At 36.1% G+C, this 19,047-nt stretch overlaps 1 long non-coding RNA gene across 1 annotated transcript in view; it reads right to left on the minus strand.

Moving 5' to 3' along the window:
• LOC105370291 (uncharacterized) overlaps positions 1-16,797 on the minus strand; it is a 93,686-nt gene extending 76,889 nt beyond the window's left edge. The window contains exons 1-2 of the long non-coding RNA XR_002957485.2: positions 16,606-16,797; positions 15,297-15,348 (exon numbers count right to left, since the gene is read on the minus strand). This is a non-coding gene — a long non-coding RNA (uncharacterized LOC105370291). The remainder of the gene's footprint in view (positions 1-15,296; positions 15,349-16,605) is intronic.
• Positions 16,798-19,047: the final 2,250 nt, after the last annotated feature.

A 19,047-nucleotide genomic window follows, 5' to 3' on the forward strand; every position in this document is an offset into this window, starting at 1 on the left:
ACAATAACAGGTGCTGGCGATGTTGTGGAGGAAAATAATGCTTGTACATTGTTGGAAGGAGTGTAAATTAGTTCAACCACTGTGGGAGGCAGTGTGATGATTCCTCAGATAGCTAAAAAGAGAACTACCATTCGACCCTGCAATGCCATTACTGGATATACCCAAAGGAATATAGATTGTTGTATCATAAGGACACAGGCATGCATATGTTCATTAAAGCACTATTAATAATAGCAAAGACATGGATTCAACCTAAACACTCATCAATGATAGGTTGGATTAAGAAAATCTGGTACATATATACTATGAAATAATATGCAGCCATAAATATAAATGAGACCATGTCTTTTACAGGGAGATGGATGGAGCCGGAGGGTGTTATCCTTAGCAAACTAACGCAGGAACAGAAAACCAAATACCAAATGTTCTCACTTATAAATAGGAGCTAAATGATGAGAACATACGGACACAGAGACCAGAACAACAGACTACCAGACAGTGGAGGGTAGGAAGAGGGAGAGAATCAGGAAAAATAACGAATGGGCACTAGGCTTAATACCTGGGTGATGAAATGATCTGTAAGACAGATCCCTGTGACATGAGTTTACCTGTATAACAAGCCTGCACATGTACCCCTAAATCTAAAATAAAAGTTAAAAATATTAATATCCTGAATGTTCTCTCCAGCATGAAATCTCATGCAAGCATCTTCTATTAACCAAAATCTAATGGAAGTCCAAGGCTAAGGATGCCTGGCATTGTCCACACAGATGAGTCTACCAGAGCACAGAGCAGGGTGGAGAATGGATGTGGTACAGCACATTAATGGTTTTCGAATAACAGTAAAGTAATTTCATTATACTATGTGGATGTAAGGCAAACCAGGATATCTTCCAAAGCAAGAATAAAATACAGATGGAAATAGACACCAGAATGTTGAGTTTATATTTAGATAACATAATAGAACCCCTTTGTAAAAGAGGGTAAATTTGTGGTCATTTCATGGAGGTGAACTGGACCTCCCACCCCCAACAAAATGTGGTTCTGATGTTGAGACTAATGGATACCATGTATATACCAAGAGTGTAAGAACAAATTTAGATTCACATGCAAAGGCTTTCTGGGGTGAACAGGCAGGCTGTCTTGCAGGTCTGCAAACGAGTTTCACTGGAGAGCAGGAGGGGTGGCTACTTTAGGATTTTATGGTAGGTAATTGGTGGGGCTTGTATTAGTTAGAGTTCCCATGCATATAAGGGAACACTTGATCTTTCTTATCATCTCACTCAGATGTGTGACAGAGTGAAAGGGAAGGTGGTTTGGCTTAAAAGCTAACAGCAGTATAAAAAACAAAAATGGAATCAGACTGTTTATTCCAGTAAAGAACATGAAAAGATGCATAAAAATATATAAATGATCAAAATATAGGAGGAACAATCAGCCATTACAGTAATCAAGAACATGCAAATTGTTTTGAGAACATATATATGGGCAATTCCTTTTTCTTGGTTTATTTTGCACTGCTCATCAACTTTGTATTTGTTTAGTTTATTTAGTATATCTATATCGTTCCTTTATAATTTCCACGTAAACTCCTGTAGGAAATTTTCTATTATGCCTTCTACTGCATTACCAAAATCTGTAGAGTGCCTGACGCACAAGGAACTTCTAGGAAGTTGATGAATGAAAACGTTATTATCTAGTTACCTCTCAAACAATTATGTAATTGTCTGGATATAAACAGCTCTAACGATTTTTTTTTCCAAATTGTTAGTAATCATTAATATTGAAGAAGAGAGATCATATGAATATGGTTGGGTAAACTTTGTGGTTTTTTTTGTTTGTTTTTTGTTTTTGAGATGGAGTCTCGCTCTGTTGCCCAGGCTGGAGTGCAGTAGCTCAATCTTGGCTCACTGCAACCTCCACCTCCCAGGTTCAAGTGGTTTTCCTGCCTCAGTCTCCCAAGTAGCTGAGATTACAGGCGCCCGCCATCACACCTGGCTAAATTTTTGTGTGTATTTTTAGTAGAGACAGAGTTTCGGGGTTTTGCCATGTTGGTCAGGCTCATCTTGAACTACTGGCCTCAAAAGATCGGCCGCCTCGGCCTCGCAAAGTGCTGGGATTACAGCGGTGAACCACTGCACCCAGCCTGGTCGGGTAACCTTTGATTTCACATTTATTCTACATGCTTTGATGTTGATTGACTTCTAATAAAATATTTACTCGTTACCTTTGTAATTTTCAAAAGTCTACTTTCTTTAATTTGAAGAGTCAACAAAGTAAATGTTCAGTATTGATAAAGAAATTGAGCATGAGATTTGCTAGTGGTTTCATTGCAGTTTACTTATATATAAGCAGTGCAGTAATAGGCTTCAATATGTAAAAAATGAATGCATAATTCTGTAAGCCAGACTTATATTGCTATCTGGGTATGTTTTTGTTTCTAAGCTTTTGCAATGTTTTGATCTTGTCAAGTAAGACCAATGTTTTCTAGGACAAGGAGAGAAATATGTTCTACCTGGATATAAAAATGTGTCTCAGTCAAGCACTATCTTCCTTAATAGATTACAAAGATTTCTGAATTCAATAATAGAAGAGAAATACTAAGATAAAGAATTGAGATGTCATCATAATTGTTGTCCTTGAATAAAATGATAAATATCAGGTATATTTAAAGTGAAATAAATTTCAATGATAATTGAAATGATCATTCATTTACATTAAACTGGTATCATCATCCAAATATATATGAACACAATAAAGAAAACTTCCCATGGGGATTTTTCCAACGGTCACTAAAATAAGACCATTATTTTAGTGAAGGAGTTTGAGGAAATTTCCAAAAGCTGGATTTAATTCATAAGTCTTATTTAAATATTTATTTCATTAAATATTTTCAATTATGTAATATGTGTCTAATTTAACATTAGGTTATATAATAAAAGTAGCACAAATAATATGAAATTCAATACTATATGCAGTTGCATGGTTGAATTATGAATTAGGAGAAAGGTTATATTAAATTAAAACATAATTAGCTTTTTGGCTTTTATACTAATTTGTACAGAGACTGGATATACAGACTCTGCATAATCAAGTATCCATAGGAAATATAGTACACTTTAAATTCTAAATGCTCATGTTAATATAGCAACCTTTTCAAAATATATTTTGTGTATGATATTATATTTCTATTTTACACCTAATACCTACACATAATATTAGGTAACTTCAAACTTTAAGTTCTATAAATGATTGCTGTATTCCACAATGTTGGGCCTAACTGATGAAGAGGATGACATATAGCAGACAGAAGTGGACTAAAACTCAGTGGTTTATTTTCTCTATTTCATTTGACATATATTTTACATGATTAACTTTGGTTGTGCATGTCTGTGCTTGGGTTTCTTTATATATAATATTATTATATTTTATATATTTATATATAATGTTATATTTTAATAACACTTTATTTTATAATTTAAAATATTTTATAATATTTTAATATTTTATAGTATAAAATCTTATATTTAATAACATTATATTTTAATAATATTTTAAATGTGAATATGTAATTACATGCATATTAAAAATGTGAAGCTGGAGAGGAGGAAATATTTAAATAATGATCATTAATCTGTGTCCCAAACATTTCAATGGCTGTTTGACCTTTGGCCAATGGAAACATAAATGTTGCAATTGCTTTGACAATATTTTTTCCTATAACCTTCTTCTAAATTGGGCATCTTGACAAATTGCCTATGAGTTTGGCATTTTCATGCAACATGGATTTAATATCATGTACTTTACCTAATGCACAACCTAATGAATAAAGAATAAATCTAGCTATGTTGACAATAGTGAAGAAAATGGATACACATATATACAAACAGACATGCTTACATACACGTCATGGTGATTTAAGGAATTTTCTTTTAAATTTGATAAAATGTACTGACTGCTTTAATCACACATTTAGCATCTAATTGCCATGCCTATATGAATTACATTGATGATACTAAAGTAAAAAGAGATTAGATGTTATCAATTAAGACTTTGTGTATGAAATCACTCAGAAAATCTAGTGTGCAATCTCTGTCATGATGCTTGATCAGTAACATTAACTCTTTAATTAAAAACAAAAGCTATCTGTAATTATAGTTTAGTGCTTAATTTGAGGTAAAGAGAAAACAGGGCCTTCATAAGAAATAATAGTAAACTTCTATCACGTTTCAGTTACAGGTTCAGAGAGAAACATTAAATCAATGTAAGGTTTTAGTTTCTTATTTCCTAGCCAATATAATCCCAGGTTTAGAACTTATTTTAAAAATATTTATAAAGTACTTATGATACAAGTTTTCTATTGATTTAGCCTCTGATATGTTCTGTCTCATCAAAGGAAATGCACAGTAAAAGTTCACATACTTCATTCTCTACATTTAAAGACCTGCACAAATCTCAGGCTTTGGAATATGGAGGAAAGAAACAGAAGTAGGCCCAAATGTTAGACCTAAATAAGTTTTTTTTCAGTGACTAAGCTTCTAAGTCCTATACTATTGAATATTTGTAAGATGGCACATCATTTAAAATAAAGCATTTCAAAGGGAGACTTTATTTATTTTTACCTTAATACATATATAACTTTTTATTTGCATTGCTACACTCTACTACTATATACAATAGAGGCAACAAAAGTAGAGCTAGGATGGAATTTCTTTGTATTAATATACCTTAAAGTTTAAACTAGCTTTTATTGTTCAATTACTTATATTAGGGCCAGGTGCGGTGACTCATGCTTGTAATCCCAACACCTGGGGAAGCCAAGGCTGGCCTATCACTTGAGGCCTAGTTCAACACCAGCCTGGCCACCATGATGAAATCCTATCTTTACTGAAAACACAAAAATTATCTGGGCATGGTGGCGGGTGCCTGTTAATTCCAGCTACTCAGGAGGCTGAGGCAGGAGAATCACTTCAACCTGGGAGGTGGAGGCTACAGTGACCCAAGATTGCCCCACTGCACTTGAGCCTGGGCGACAGAGCAAGATTGTTTAAAAAAAAAATTATCGCTGGGCTCGGTGGCTCACACCTGTAATCCTAGCACTTTGGGAGGCCAAGGCAGGTGGATCACAAGGTCATGAGATTGAGACCATCCTGGCCAACATGATGAAACACCATCTCTACTAAAAATACAAAAAAAATTAGCTGGGCATGATGGCACGCACCTGTAGTCCCAATTACTCGGGAGGCTGAGGAAGGGGAATCACTTGAACCTGGGAGGCAGAGGTTGTAGTGAGCTGAGATCGCACTACTGCACTCCAGCCTGGCAACAGAGTGAGACTCCGTCTCAAAAAAAAAAAAAAATTACTTACATATGAAATCTGAAAACATTATGATAATATTAGCAACAAAAAATAGTGATTTAAGTTACAGGTATGCCTCATTTTATTGTGCTTTGCTGTATTCCATTTAGCACATAGTGTGATTTTTTTTTTTAAACAAATTGAAGGTTTGTGGCAACTCTATGTTGAGCATGCCTATCAGTGACATTTTCCCATTGCTCGCTTTGTGCATCTGTGTCACATTTTGGTAATTCTTGTAATATTTTAAACTTTTATTATTATATCTGTTATGGTGATCTGTGATCAGTGATTTTTGAGGTTACTATTGTAATTGTTTGAGAGTACCAGGAACCGTGCCCATATAAGAGGTTGAATTTCATCTGTGAATGTGTTTGTTCTGGCTGTTCCTCAGATGGGCTGTCCTCATCACTCTTTCCCTCCTTGGGTCTCCCTGATTTTCTGAGAACAACTTTGTTGACATTAGGCCAATTATCAACCCTTCAATGGCCTCTTAAGTGTTCAAATGAAAGGAAGAGTCACATGTCTGTCACTGTAAATACAAATCTAGAAATGATTAAGCTTAATGAGGAAGGCATGTCAACAACTGATCTAGGCCAAAAGCTAGGCCTCTTGTGCCAGTTAGCCCAAAGGAAAAGTTATTGAAGGAAATTGAAAGTGTAATTTCTGTAAGCACACATATGATAAGAAGGCAAAACAGCCTTATTGCTGATATGGAGAAAGTTTTAGTTACCTATTTAGAAAATAAAACCAGCCACAATATTCCCTTAAGCCCAAATCTAATCCAATGCAAGACACTAACTCTCTTCAATTCTATAAATGCTGAGAGGGGTGAAGAAGCTGCAGAAGAATAGTCTGAAGTGAACAGAGGTTAGTTCATGAGTTTTTAAAAAATCAGTTGTCCCCAAAACATAAAAGTGCAAGATGAACCAACAAGTGGTGATGTAGAAGCTGCAACAAGTTATCCAGAAGATTTAGCTAAAATAATTCAAGGAGTTGTTTACACTAAACAACAAATTTTTATTGTACATGAAACAACCTTGTAGTGGAAGAAGATGCCATCTAAGACTTTCATAGCTAGATAGGAGGAGTTAATGCCTGACTTCAAAGCTTCAAAGGACAGGCTGGCTCTCTTGTTAGTGGCTAATGCAGCTGGGGCCATTCAGCTGAAGCCAGTGTTAGCTCATTATGAAAATCATATGGTCTTTAAGAATTGTGCTAAATCTCCTCTTCCTGTGCTCTAAAAATTGAGCAACAAAGCCTGGATGACAGCACATCTGTTTCAAGCATAGTTATTGAATATTTTAAGCCCACTGTTGAGACTTACTGCTCAGAAAAAAAGAATCCTTTCAAATTATTACTGTTCATTGAAAATACACCTCCTCACCCAAAAGCTCTGCTGGAGATGTACAAGATCAATGCTGTTTTTATGCCTGCTAACACAACATCTACGCTCTAACCCATGCATCAAGCAGTAATTTTGACTTTCAGGTCTTATTATCTAAGAAATGCATTTTCTAAGGCTATACCTGCTCTAGACTAGATTACTCTGATGGATTTTGACAAGGTAAATTGAGAACCTTCTGGAAAGAATTCCCCATTCTAGATGCAATTAAGAGTATTTATAATGTGTGGCAAGGTCAAAATATCAACACTAACAGGAGTACAGAAGTTAACTCCAACTATCATGGATGATTTTGAAGGGTTCAAGAATTCAGTGGAAGAAGTAACTTCAGATGTGGTGATAATAGCAAGAGAACTAGAATTAGAAGTGAAACTTGAAGATACGAATTACTGTAGTCTTATGGTAAAAATTTAAAGGATAAGGAGTTGTTTCTTATGGATGAAAAAGCAAGTGGTTTCTTCAGATGGAATCTACTCCTGCTGAAGATCCTGTGAACATTGTGGAAACGACAACAAAGGCTTTAGAATACTATATAAACTTAGTTGATAAATAGCAAGAGAATTTGAGAGAATTATCTCTAATTTTGAAAGAAGTTCTACTGGGGGTAAAATGCTACCAAACAGCATCACAGGCTACAGAGAAAACTTTTATGAAAGAAAAAGTCCATCCATGAGGCAAACTTCATTGTTAACTTATTTTAAGAAATTGTCATAGCCACCTCAACCTTTAGCAACCACCGTTCTAATCAATCAGCAGCCATTAACAGAAAGGCAAGACCCTCCACCAGCAAAAAGATTATGACTTGTTGAAGGCTCACATGATCATTAGCATTTTTTAGAAATAAGGTATTTTTAAATTAAGGTGTGTACACTTTTAATGTAGATATAATTATGCTGCACACTCAATAAACTATAGTACAGTGTAAACTTAACTTTTATATGCAATGGGATACCAAAAATATTGTAGGACTAGTTTTATTGTCCTATTTGCTTTATTGCAGTGGTCTGGAACTGAACCCACATTATCTCTGAGGTATGCCTGTATGAGCACTGATTTTTCAAAGTGATGAGCTCTATCAATTCTCCATAGTCAACCTATTTTTATAATGGATGTACTCATGTTAGTGGAGAGAGCACTGTGGTGCATTCAATTGAGTTCCTCAGAAAGGTATGCTGAAGTCCTACTCACTAGTACCTGTTAAGGTGACCTTATTTAGAATAGTGCCTTTTGAGATATAACTAGATGTAACTTAAATGGGGTCATACTTGAGTAGGGTATGTCTTTCATCCAGCATGACTGGTGTCCTCATAAGAGGAGAAGAGATACACAAACAGAAACACAGAAAAGGGAACCACATATGAAAACAAATACACAGATGGAAGATGGCCATATGACTATGGAAACAGATTGGAATTATGCAGCTGCAAACCAAGGAATGCCAAAGATTACTGACAACCTATAGAAGCTTGACGACAGTGCATAGTCTTACTCACAACTTGATTTCAGACTTCTAGCCTCTAGAAATGTGAGAAAGTAAATGTATGAGTTTTATAAGCCAGCCAGTTTGTGGTAGTTTGTTGTGGCAATCCTAGGAAATGACTATAAGGCCCTGGTACCATCTGAATGAAAGTCAGTGTCTCAGGTCATCTATCCTGTTATCCTCAATATTAGCTCTACAAAGCAGTCTATCTGTATGCTGCAGTGAAACCAGGTGCAATAGAAAGGGAGAACAACGCACCAGTCTTCTGAAAATGCATGCTATTTGAAAAAGAGAGAGTCTTGTGACTGTTCCTGATGAAATACTTCTTGTTTCTAATCCCTTGAATACTAGATGTGTATAGATTCAGATAAGTTGTCACCTAAACACCAGGAGTTCAGTCTAGGTCCTGTTGGTCTCCCCACAGAAAGCCAATCACTAAGACAATGGGTATTGACATGCTTTATTCAAGTGCTGCAGCCAAGGAGAATGGGAGATCAGTCTCAAATGCATCTCCCCAACTGACTACAATTGGGGGTTGATTTAGCAGGGAAGGATTGTAACTTAAGTGTGGGAAAACAGGAATTAAGGAGGGTTAAAGAAGATAAGTTAGCCAACAGGAAGGAGGTGGTCAGTTAGGCAATCGTGATGGGTGAGGGGTCTGACATCTCATTGTCCAGATTCAAGGATCTGGTGAGTTTCAGTTCCCTGATACCATCTGGGAGGCTTGATGGTCAGTTTCCTGAGGAAGGAACTCAGATAAGACAGATACAAGTTTCAAGCTTTAAGACCAGGAAGTCAATATCTACATTTATCAGAAAACAATAAACATTAGTTCTATGGGACAATTGGCTCTGTTTCAAAGTCAGAGGGAAATATAACCATGTTTAGGTACTTAAGAATGGCTGAGTCAGCTTGCCCTGGAGAGCTCTTCTTTGGAGAAGAAAGTATGGTGACTACATGCAAGCTGTCTGCCTTACTCTTGATAGGGTTGCTTCCTATGGATATGTTCCTACATAGCATAAATAAGTTTATGATTAAATTGTCATACCTGTTTTCATAAGGAAGTACCTTATGTCGGTGTGTGTTTATCACCCAGTATTAGAGGCCTCAATGACCTAATTATATAGTAAATAATTACTATGGCCTATAAATCCAAGTAAAATATATTTCATTTAACTCATGGTTGTACACTCTACGGCTAAGAATTGCACACAAGTCCCATTCCAGTGCTTAGGGATAGTATGTGTTATATGTTAGCAGTAGTTTAGCATCATGATGTTATTACACAGCTTGACACAAATTTGTATTTATCCATGTTTTCTTTTCAATAGATGAGTCTTGTAAATAAAGGTGCAACTTGAGCCAAAAATTTAAGTTTTAATAAAACAGTAAGTGATACGCTTTGGCCGTGTCCCCACCCAAATCTCATCTTGAATTGTAACTCCCACAATTTTCACATATTATGGAAAGAACCACGTAGGAGGTAACTGAATCATGGGGGTGGGTCTGTCTTGTGCTGTTCTCGTGATACTGAATATGTCTCAAAAGATCTGATGGTTTTAAAAATGAGAGTTTCCCTATACATGCTCTCTCTTTGCCTCCCACCATCCACGTAAGATGTGACTTGTTCCTTCTTGCTTTCTGCCATGATTGTGAGGCCTCCCCAGCCACATGGAACTGTGAGTCCAGTTAAACTTAAACCTCTTTCTTTTGTAAATTGCCCAGTCTCGGGTATGTCTTTATCAGCAGTGTAATAACTAATACTGTAAGTCTCTGGGTATAATGGGTGGAGAGACACATGGCCATAAAAATGGCTAAGTTGTTTTGGATAAGAATTATTTCGTAATTTGAAGTGTCATTTCTTTAGTGAAAATCTGAGGTATTGTTCAATCTTAAGCTTGTTTCAGAAAAGACTTGTTATAAGATAATAATGTAGTGTTGAAGGGACATGACGTTTGTTTTGTTTTTGTTTTATCAATAAGACAGTAAAATAATTTGTTTCCCTTTGAGCCCACAAATAGGCTACCCACTTATACCTAACAGTTGAAGAAATTTCAGTGTTCAGTCTCCTTAGCATTTTTTTACCAAACGTTCAACCAAGATGTGAAATTAGCTACAGATGTTTTTCTAATTCTGTGGAGTCTTGAGAAGGTAGCAGTTTTCATGGCAAGGCTTGTTTTATTGTATTTTCACTGCTTTTGTGCTTTACTTGTATGAAGCACTCAATTTTGGTAGTTAGCTAATGACTTAGGATAGAGTTCACAGTAAAATTCCCAGATGTAAGATTCCAGTTGAAAATTCTTGTTTGTGGTTGGTAACTGTAGATGAAAAGTTTGTTCTTAATAGGCTGTGTCTTTCAGCATACATAGAGCTTAACATAGGCTGGGAGAGGCTAAACCACTGATTTTGTCTTCATTCTAGTTCTTTTGGTAGTAATCAAAGTAATATGTAAATATGTATTTTCAATGTAAACCCTTAGCAAAATATCACCATTATAATAAAATATTTGCATGTTATCAACATTTTTCATTGAGCTAGGATTAGCTCGACACACAGGAGACTGAAAACACATAATATATGCTTTGCCAAGTGAAGGCAAACTGAAGAGGACTAATGAAGGCAACTGAAGAGAACTAATAAAGATGCATTAGCAAGATCGAAGGCTGCATACACTTCCAACTAGGCATGACTTATTTCAGTCCTGTTACGATGTTAGACATTTTTGAAACAATATCAACCTTTTTCATGTTTAAACCTCAGTTGCTGGCATCACTGTAATACTCTAAGCATACCTGGCTTCCACAGAGAAAACTGGGCTATTAAGTTAGAAGATAATATTGTACAGTACCCTGGTCTGTACAAAATACTTATGAGTTGCTGAATAAAATTGTCTTTTTCTGATATACAATGTAGGTTCAATTTTCCAAACTTGGCAAGATTTAGGAATATAAGCTGTTTGGGGCCATATGTTTGGCTGACCTTTATAGAGTCCAAAAACAGAGGTGTCAATGAATGCATCCTAATCAGCATGTCCATGTGATGACTACCCAGAATATCTTCATAAAACACAAAGACTGACAGAAAAACAGTATATATAGTTCAGATACAAAATACAAAATCATAGCCTCATAAATTCTTTCCCTTTATTAATTTCAGAGATTCATGACCTCAGACATTTCCCCAAATCTTATCTTCATCTTGGTTTATCTTGTTTCCGTAATTCTCTGCATTAATTCCAGGTAAAAGCCATGTATCAGCCCATTGGCTGGTCTGTCTTTGATCCACAAAAGCTTTAAAATCTATTCCAGCTATATGCATTAGCTCATCTACTTTGTTGATAATCTGAACTGTCCCCTATGTCTGCTAGCTGTGCATGCTGTTCTAAGTAAACCAGGTACCACCTTTCAGTCATAAAAATATAATGTATTCTTGTTATTATTTGTTTATTTGTTTTTCCATCCTTCAAAGAACTTGGGCAGCTCTTCTTAGGTTAACAGCAACCTTACTCTCTGAGCTTTTGCATGTAAGTTCATAAAAATTTATATTTGTAATATCTACCTGCTGAATTAAATGTTTCATTATTTTTAAGGACCTTTCTTCTAAGGCTTCATCTAATATTGAAATAGCTACATTCACTTATGTGCTTAAAGTTTTCCTGGGCTATCTTTGATCCTTATTCCTTTTTTAGGTGTCCCTTTAAAATAGCTGGATTTTGCAAAGTTCTTTTTAATTGTATTGTTAGCCATTTATATCTGTCTTAATTACTATTATTTGGACTTTCCAACCATTTTATTTTATGCTTTTTACTTAGCATTCACTTTCTGTTTCTTTGATTTTTTTTCTCTTTCTTATCCTTTCTTCATTTGGGTTAGTTGATTTTTCTCTGAAATCTTTGTGTATGTGTGTGTGTGTGTATTTCTGTGTTAACTAATTGGATAATTATTGATATTACTTTATTGGTTAACTCAAAAATGTCAACATAAGAACTTAAATTATTAAAATGTATAATGTTTTTCCTGGCGTTTGTTTAATACAATAGAAAATAAAGTATTACACTGAAAAAAGAAACGTTTAATTTAATCACTAATGAAATCTCAAACTTCAAAACCTCAGAGCACTTTTTTTCACTCACGCTTTCTCAACTTTGATATTGTTCTGTAGATTATTTTTATTGTCTTATTTTAATCACAAACTAGTTTATAGTTATTATGCAGATACCCCATGTTTTTTTCATATAGTGAGACTGGTTTGAAACTAAAAAAAGCCAAACGGGGTATAATAATAAATTCTTATCAATTAATGTATAAGTATGTTGCAAGGCTCACAGTTAAACTGCAAGTCTTTTTTGTCATTGTCACCACAAAATGAAGAATTGAAAATCAAGAGTTTAAAAAATGATGCTTGTGAGAGCAACAGTTTAACTTATTGCAAATTCCAGCTCTGCTCAAAATTTAATGCACATAGGTACCACTGGCCATCTTGTTAACATTTAGATTCTGATTTAAAAACGTGAGGTGGGACTTGAAATTTTGCCTTTCTCTCACACTAACAGCTGATATTCCTGCTGACAGTCCATGGATCATGCTTTATTTTAAAGGGAATGGTCCTTTTAAGCACCAGAATAAGAACATATTTCATATGGAGGGAGAATGGAACATACTACTTTCTCCATATTTAAGTAACCAAAGCTTGAGCAAAAAGAAAAAAGCTGAAGGTGTCATACTACCTAACTTCAAAATATACTATGAAGCTATGGTAATCAAAACAGCATAGTAATGGCACAAAAGCATACATGTAGACCAATAGAACAGAATAGAGAACCCAGAAATAAATCCACACATTTGTTGTCAATTGATTTTAGACAAAGGTGCCAAGAACAAACCATAGAGGAAGGACATTTTCTTTAATAAATGGTTTTGAGAAAACTGGATATCCACATGCAGAGAATGAAATTAAGCCCTAATCTCACACCCCATATACAAATCAACTCAAAATAGATTAAATCCCTAAACATATGACCTGAAACCATAAAACTACTAGAAGAAAACAGGGGAAAAGATCCATGGTGTTGGTCTGGGAAATTATTTTTTGGATATAACCCAAAAAATACAGACAACAAAATAAAAAAAACCTACAAATGAGATTATAGAAACTAAAACCTTACTGCGCAGCTAAGGAAACAATCAGCAAAGTGAAGAGACAACCTATATAATGGGAAAATATATTTGCAAACTATACATCTGACAGTGGGTTAATATCCTGAATATGTAAGGAACTCAAACAACTATACAGAGAGAAAACAAACAACACAATTACAAAAATGGGCAAAGGAGTTGAAAAGATTTTTCTCAAAACAAGACACATAAATGGTAAATATGTGTATAAAAAAATGCTCACCCTCACTAATCATCAGAGAAAAGCTAATTAAAATCACAATATTATCTCACCCTGTTACAATGTTTTTTATAATCAGATGAAAGATAAAAAGTACTGGCAAGGATGTGGAGAAAAGGGAACACTTGCATATTGTTGGTGACAATGTAAATTAGTAAAGCTATTATGGAAAACTGCAAGGAAGTTCCTCAAAACTTAAAAACAGAGCTAACATATAATCCAGCAATCCAAATACTGGGTATATATCCAAAGGAAATGAAATCAGTATTTTAAAGAAATACTCATTGCAACATTATTCATAGTAGCCAAGAAATGGAGTCAATCTAAGTATCTATCATAGGATAAAATGTGGTACATATACACAACGAAATACTATCTCACTTTATAAAAGAAAGAAATTCTATCATTTGTTACAACATGGATGAACCCGGAGGACATCATGTTATGTAAAATGAGCTAGGCACAGAAAGGCTAATTCACATATATGTGGAATTTTTAAAAGTTTCACTCACAAAAGGATAGAGTATAATGCTGGTTACTAAGAACTGGGGGAGAAGGGTAGGAAAGAATACAAAATGTCAGTCATATAAGAAGTATAAATTCAAAGATATATTGGACAACATGGCAACTACAGTCAATTACAATGCATTGTATACTTGAAAATCACTACTAGAGTAAATTTCACCAAACACAAACACACACGCACACAAAAGATGAGTATATCAGGTAATGCATATGTCAGTGAGCACAATTTAGGCCTTCAACAACGTGTATGTATTTCAAAACATTATGTCGGCACATGATAAATATATGTAATTTTATTTAAAAATAAAGTATTTAAAAGAACATACTTAAACATGTGTAGGAATTTTAGTTATACTAAATGTATTTTTATTTATGTTTTGCAATTTCTATGGAAACAATTTGAAGAAAAACTGTCACAATGAAAGTTGGTAAAGTATAACTAATTAAATAAAAGTGATATGCCATTTTCATAAACTTCAATTCTGAAATAAAATCACTTCACAAATAATAAATACCCATGTGTTTTTAGCTGCATAATTGTCTCTTTATATCCAACGTCTTTAAGCCATAGATCAATATCCTATTTTTGGTTTATTTTTCCCAAAATAGGCTTAAATGTGTCAGTGTAGCTATATACCAGCCATAAGGTATCATGTGCTATTTTCCAAATTATTAAAAAATCCACTTTAGATAGGTTTTCAATTAATCTTCTTCATTTAGTTTAGCAAATGTGTTCTAACATCTTTAAATTCAGAGAAAAGAGTTAATTTTTAGACTAAATTATCTAAAGTTTTTATGTTTTGTTTGTACTGCTTCACAATATCTATGCTTATAATTTTCAGATTTATTCCTTAATTTTTGATTATTCTCAATATTTTCCCAACAAGTAGAAGACAAATTTATTAAATTTATAACCTAAATTTGTAATTTATTTATGTACTTTAATTTTTGAAGAGAATAGACCCTATATATCAAAGAATTGCTACTAGAAACTTTTTAAAAACTCCTTTGTTTATGAAAAGAAGAATGCAAGAAAAAAGATGTTTAAATTCATATGAGATATTACGTTTCAAAGAGAGATCAGGTTGATTTAAAGAAGACGTGTTTATGCAAAAGTAATCTTGATTCATTTTTACCTTTGATTACTTTTTATCTGGCAAGGCTGAACCCACTGACTTTTCTCTGCACCTGTAATTATAAAAAAATAAATAGAAAGTAAGAGAACTCACCCAGAATATATTAAAGAATAACATGATTCATATGTAACAGCAGCATATTATCACTGTATTGCAATATATCTTTTTTTTCCAAAAACTTGGTTTTACTTATATGTGTATACCTAGGAATACTTGTTTAACAATGACTAAGATAATCTGTATTATCATTATCATTAATCTCCATTCCTTCTGTCTTCTGATATCTACTGGAAATAAATTAAGCCTCATAATAAAAGATTATAATCAATGCATATTTGTAGACTAGAAACCAGTTTTTTTAATTTTATGTATATTAGAGAATAAAACCTAAAAGCAATTTTAGACTGCCTATTTTAAACAAGTTGAAAGATTTTTCTTTTTTTTTGCTTATAAGTTTAATTACAAACATGCCTGTTTACATTGAACTCTTCATGTACGTAAACTGTTGTAATTGATGTTAGACACATGCATACTTGGAACATAAAGTCATATGTAATCCAATGTCCATACTGAATCACAGGAAAGATACAGGATTTTAATGAATCAATAAATGAATAGTTTTATATACCAAGGCCGCCTTATTTCTTGTTTGTATTTGGATATTTGTTTGTAAAACTTTAAAGTCTATTCCCAGGTAAATATAATAAAACACCCATTTGATAATTTGTAACTAATATTTGCATTGTCATATTGAGAGGTGACAACATGCTAGCAGCCCTAGCTCGCTCGCGGCGCCTCCTTGGCCCCGGTGTCCACTCTGGCCACGCTTGAGGAGCCCTTCCGCCCTTCAGCCCGCTGCTGCACTGTGGGAGCCCTCTCTGGGCCTGGCCGAGGCCGGCACCGGCTCCCTCTGCTTGAGGGGAGATGTGGAGGGAGAGACTAGGGCGGGAACTGGGGCTGCGCCTAGCGCTCGCGAGCCAGCGCGAGTTCTGGGTGGGTGCAGGCTCCGCGGGCCCGCACTTGGAGTGGCCGGCTGGCGCCGCTGGCCCCGGGCAGTGAGGGGTTTAGCACCCGGGCCAGCAGCTGCAGAGGGTGCGCCAGGTCCCCCAGCACTGCCGGCCCGCCCACGCCGCGCTCGAATTCTCGCCCCGGGCCTCAGCCACCTCCGCTTGGCTGGGCTGAGGACCCGCAGCCCGCCATGCCCAGCGCCCCCCGCCCCGTGGTGGGCTCCCGCGCGGCCGGAGCCTCCCCTACGGGCGCCACCCCCTGCTCCGCCCCCTGCTCCGCGGCTCCAGGTCCCATCAACTACCCAAGGTCTGAAGAGTGCGGGAACGCGGCACAGGACTGGCAGGCAGCTCCACCCACAGCCCCGGAGCGGGATCCACCAAGCAAAGCCAGCTGGGCTCCTGAGTTGGGTGGGGATTTGGAGAAGTTTTATGTCCAGCTGGAGAATTGTATATGCACCAATCAGCACTCTGTGTCTAGCTCAGGGTTCGTGGATACACCAATCAGCACTCTGTATCTAGCCTGGTGGGGACTTGCAGAACTTTTATTTCTAGCTAGGGGATTGTAAATGCACCAATCAGCACTCTGTGTCTAGCTCAGGGATTGTAAATGCACCAATCAGCACTCTGTCAAAACAGGCCAATCAGCTCTCTGTAAAATGGACCAATCAGCTCTCTGTAAAATGGACCAATCAGCAGCATGTGGGTGGGGCCAGATAAAGGAATAAAAGCAGGCTGCCCAAGCCAGCAGAGGCAACCCAGTCGGGTCTCCTTCCATGCTGTGGTAGATCTTCCATGCTGTGGTAGATTTGTTCTTTTGCTCTTTGCAATGAATTTTGCTGCTGCTCACTTTTTGGGTCCACCTGTGAGCTGTAACACTAACCATGAAGGGCTGCAGCTTCACTCCTGAGGCCAGCGAGACCATGAACCCACGGGAAGGAACGAAGAAGTTCAGATGCGCCGCTTTTAAGAGCTGTAACGCTCACTGCGAAGGTCTGCAGCTTCACTTCTGAAGTCAGTGAGACCACGAACCCACCAGTAAGAAGAAACTCCAGACACACCACATTTAAGAACTGTAAGACTCACTGTGAGGGTCCATGCCTTCATTCTTGAGGTCAGCGAGACCAAGAACCCACCAATTCTGGACACAGTATCAGCATAATCAATGTTAACAAGTAACTCTTTGTCCATATATTTTACTTTATATTGAGGAAAGTAACTGGTAAGTAGAAAAAATAGTGTGTTAATGCTCTTTATTGCATTCATATGTGGAAGGACATTATTACTGTTCAATAGAAAATATAACCCCCAAATTCATGGGACACTAAGTAGTTTTGTGTGTAAGGCAGCAAGCTTATTCCAGCATTTTTTTCTGTAGTTCCCCTTGAATTTTCCTCGAATTAGATTTGATGTTCTCTGATCACCCCATTGAAAAGAAAAAGTTTCGACACAAGTTCATTTTAATATTACGTCAGCCATAATTTTAACTTTTGAAAGTTATAAATTGGAATGGTGGAGAAGGGTTAGGAAAGAATACAAAATTTCATATAGGAAGTATAATTTCAAAGGTATATATATAGCACTTCTCAAATTGATATTAAAGGGATGTTACTAGATTGTTTTCAAAGAAACGAACAAAATCTTCTCCCGAGGATAAACATTTAACTCAGGTCAATTTAAAGATGTTTTGTTACTGTGGGACATTTTAGAAACTTTAATAAATTTCAATTTAATGTGGGTATTTCAATAGTTTATGCTCTTCTTAAACTGGGAAGATTTGTTTTATTGGTTCAATTACCTTAAAGAATGTATCCACTTTTTTGATTCTTTATGGAAGACTCTTATTAAAAGTGATTAAAATTATATCATGTTATTTTTATATCTCATAATTTAATATTTTTATATGGTTTTAGTATAATTCTTGACTGTAAGAAGTATCTTTCCAAACTTCGTTTGTGTTGGTCCATTTTCATAGTGGTAATGACATTTCTGAAAGAGTAATATGGTTTGGCTCTATGTCTCAATCCAAATCTCGTGTCGAATTTGAATTCCCAATGTTGAGGGCAGGACCTGGTGGGAGGTGATTAGATCATGAGGGCAGAATACTCTCATGTTGTTCTCATGATAGTGAGTGAGTTCTCAAAAGAGTTGATGGTTTAAAAGTGTGTGGCACTTTGGCCTTTGCTCTCTCTTTCTCTCATGCTCCACCATGGTAAGAAATGCTTGCTTCCCCTGGCCGGGCACAGTGGCTCACGCTTATAATCCCAACACTTTGGGAGGCTGAGGAGGGCAGGTCACGAGGTCAGGATGTTGAGACCATCCTGGCTAACACAGTGAAACCCCGTCTCTACTAAAAATAGAAATAAATTAGCCGAGCGTGGTGGCAGGTGCCTGTAGTCCCAGCTACTCCAGAGGCTGAGGCAGGAGAATGGCGTGAACCTGGGAGGCGGAGCTTGCGGTGAGCAGAGATTGCGCCACTGCACTCCAGCCTGGGGAATAAAGCGAGACTCCGTCTCAAAAAAAAAAAAAAAAAAAAGAAATGCTTGCTTTCCCTCCACCTTCTGCCATGATTCTAAGTTTCCTTAGGCCTTGTGTTCATGCTTCCTGCAAAACTTCAAAACTTTGAGTCGATTAAACCTCTTTTCTTTATAAATTGCTCAGTCTCAGGTAGTTCTTTATAGCAGTGTGAGAATGAATTAATACAGAAAATTGGTACCAGGAGATATTTGAAAATGTGGAAGCAACTT

Source organism: Homo sapiens, chromosome 13 (genome assembly GCF_000001405.40).
Source record: "Homo sapiens chromosome 13, GRCh38.p14 Primary Assembly".
NCBI classification, from domain to species: domain Eukaryota; kingdom Metazoa; phylum Chordata; class Mammalia; order Primates; family Hominidae; genus Homo; species Homo sapiens.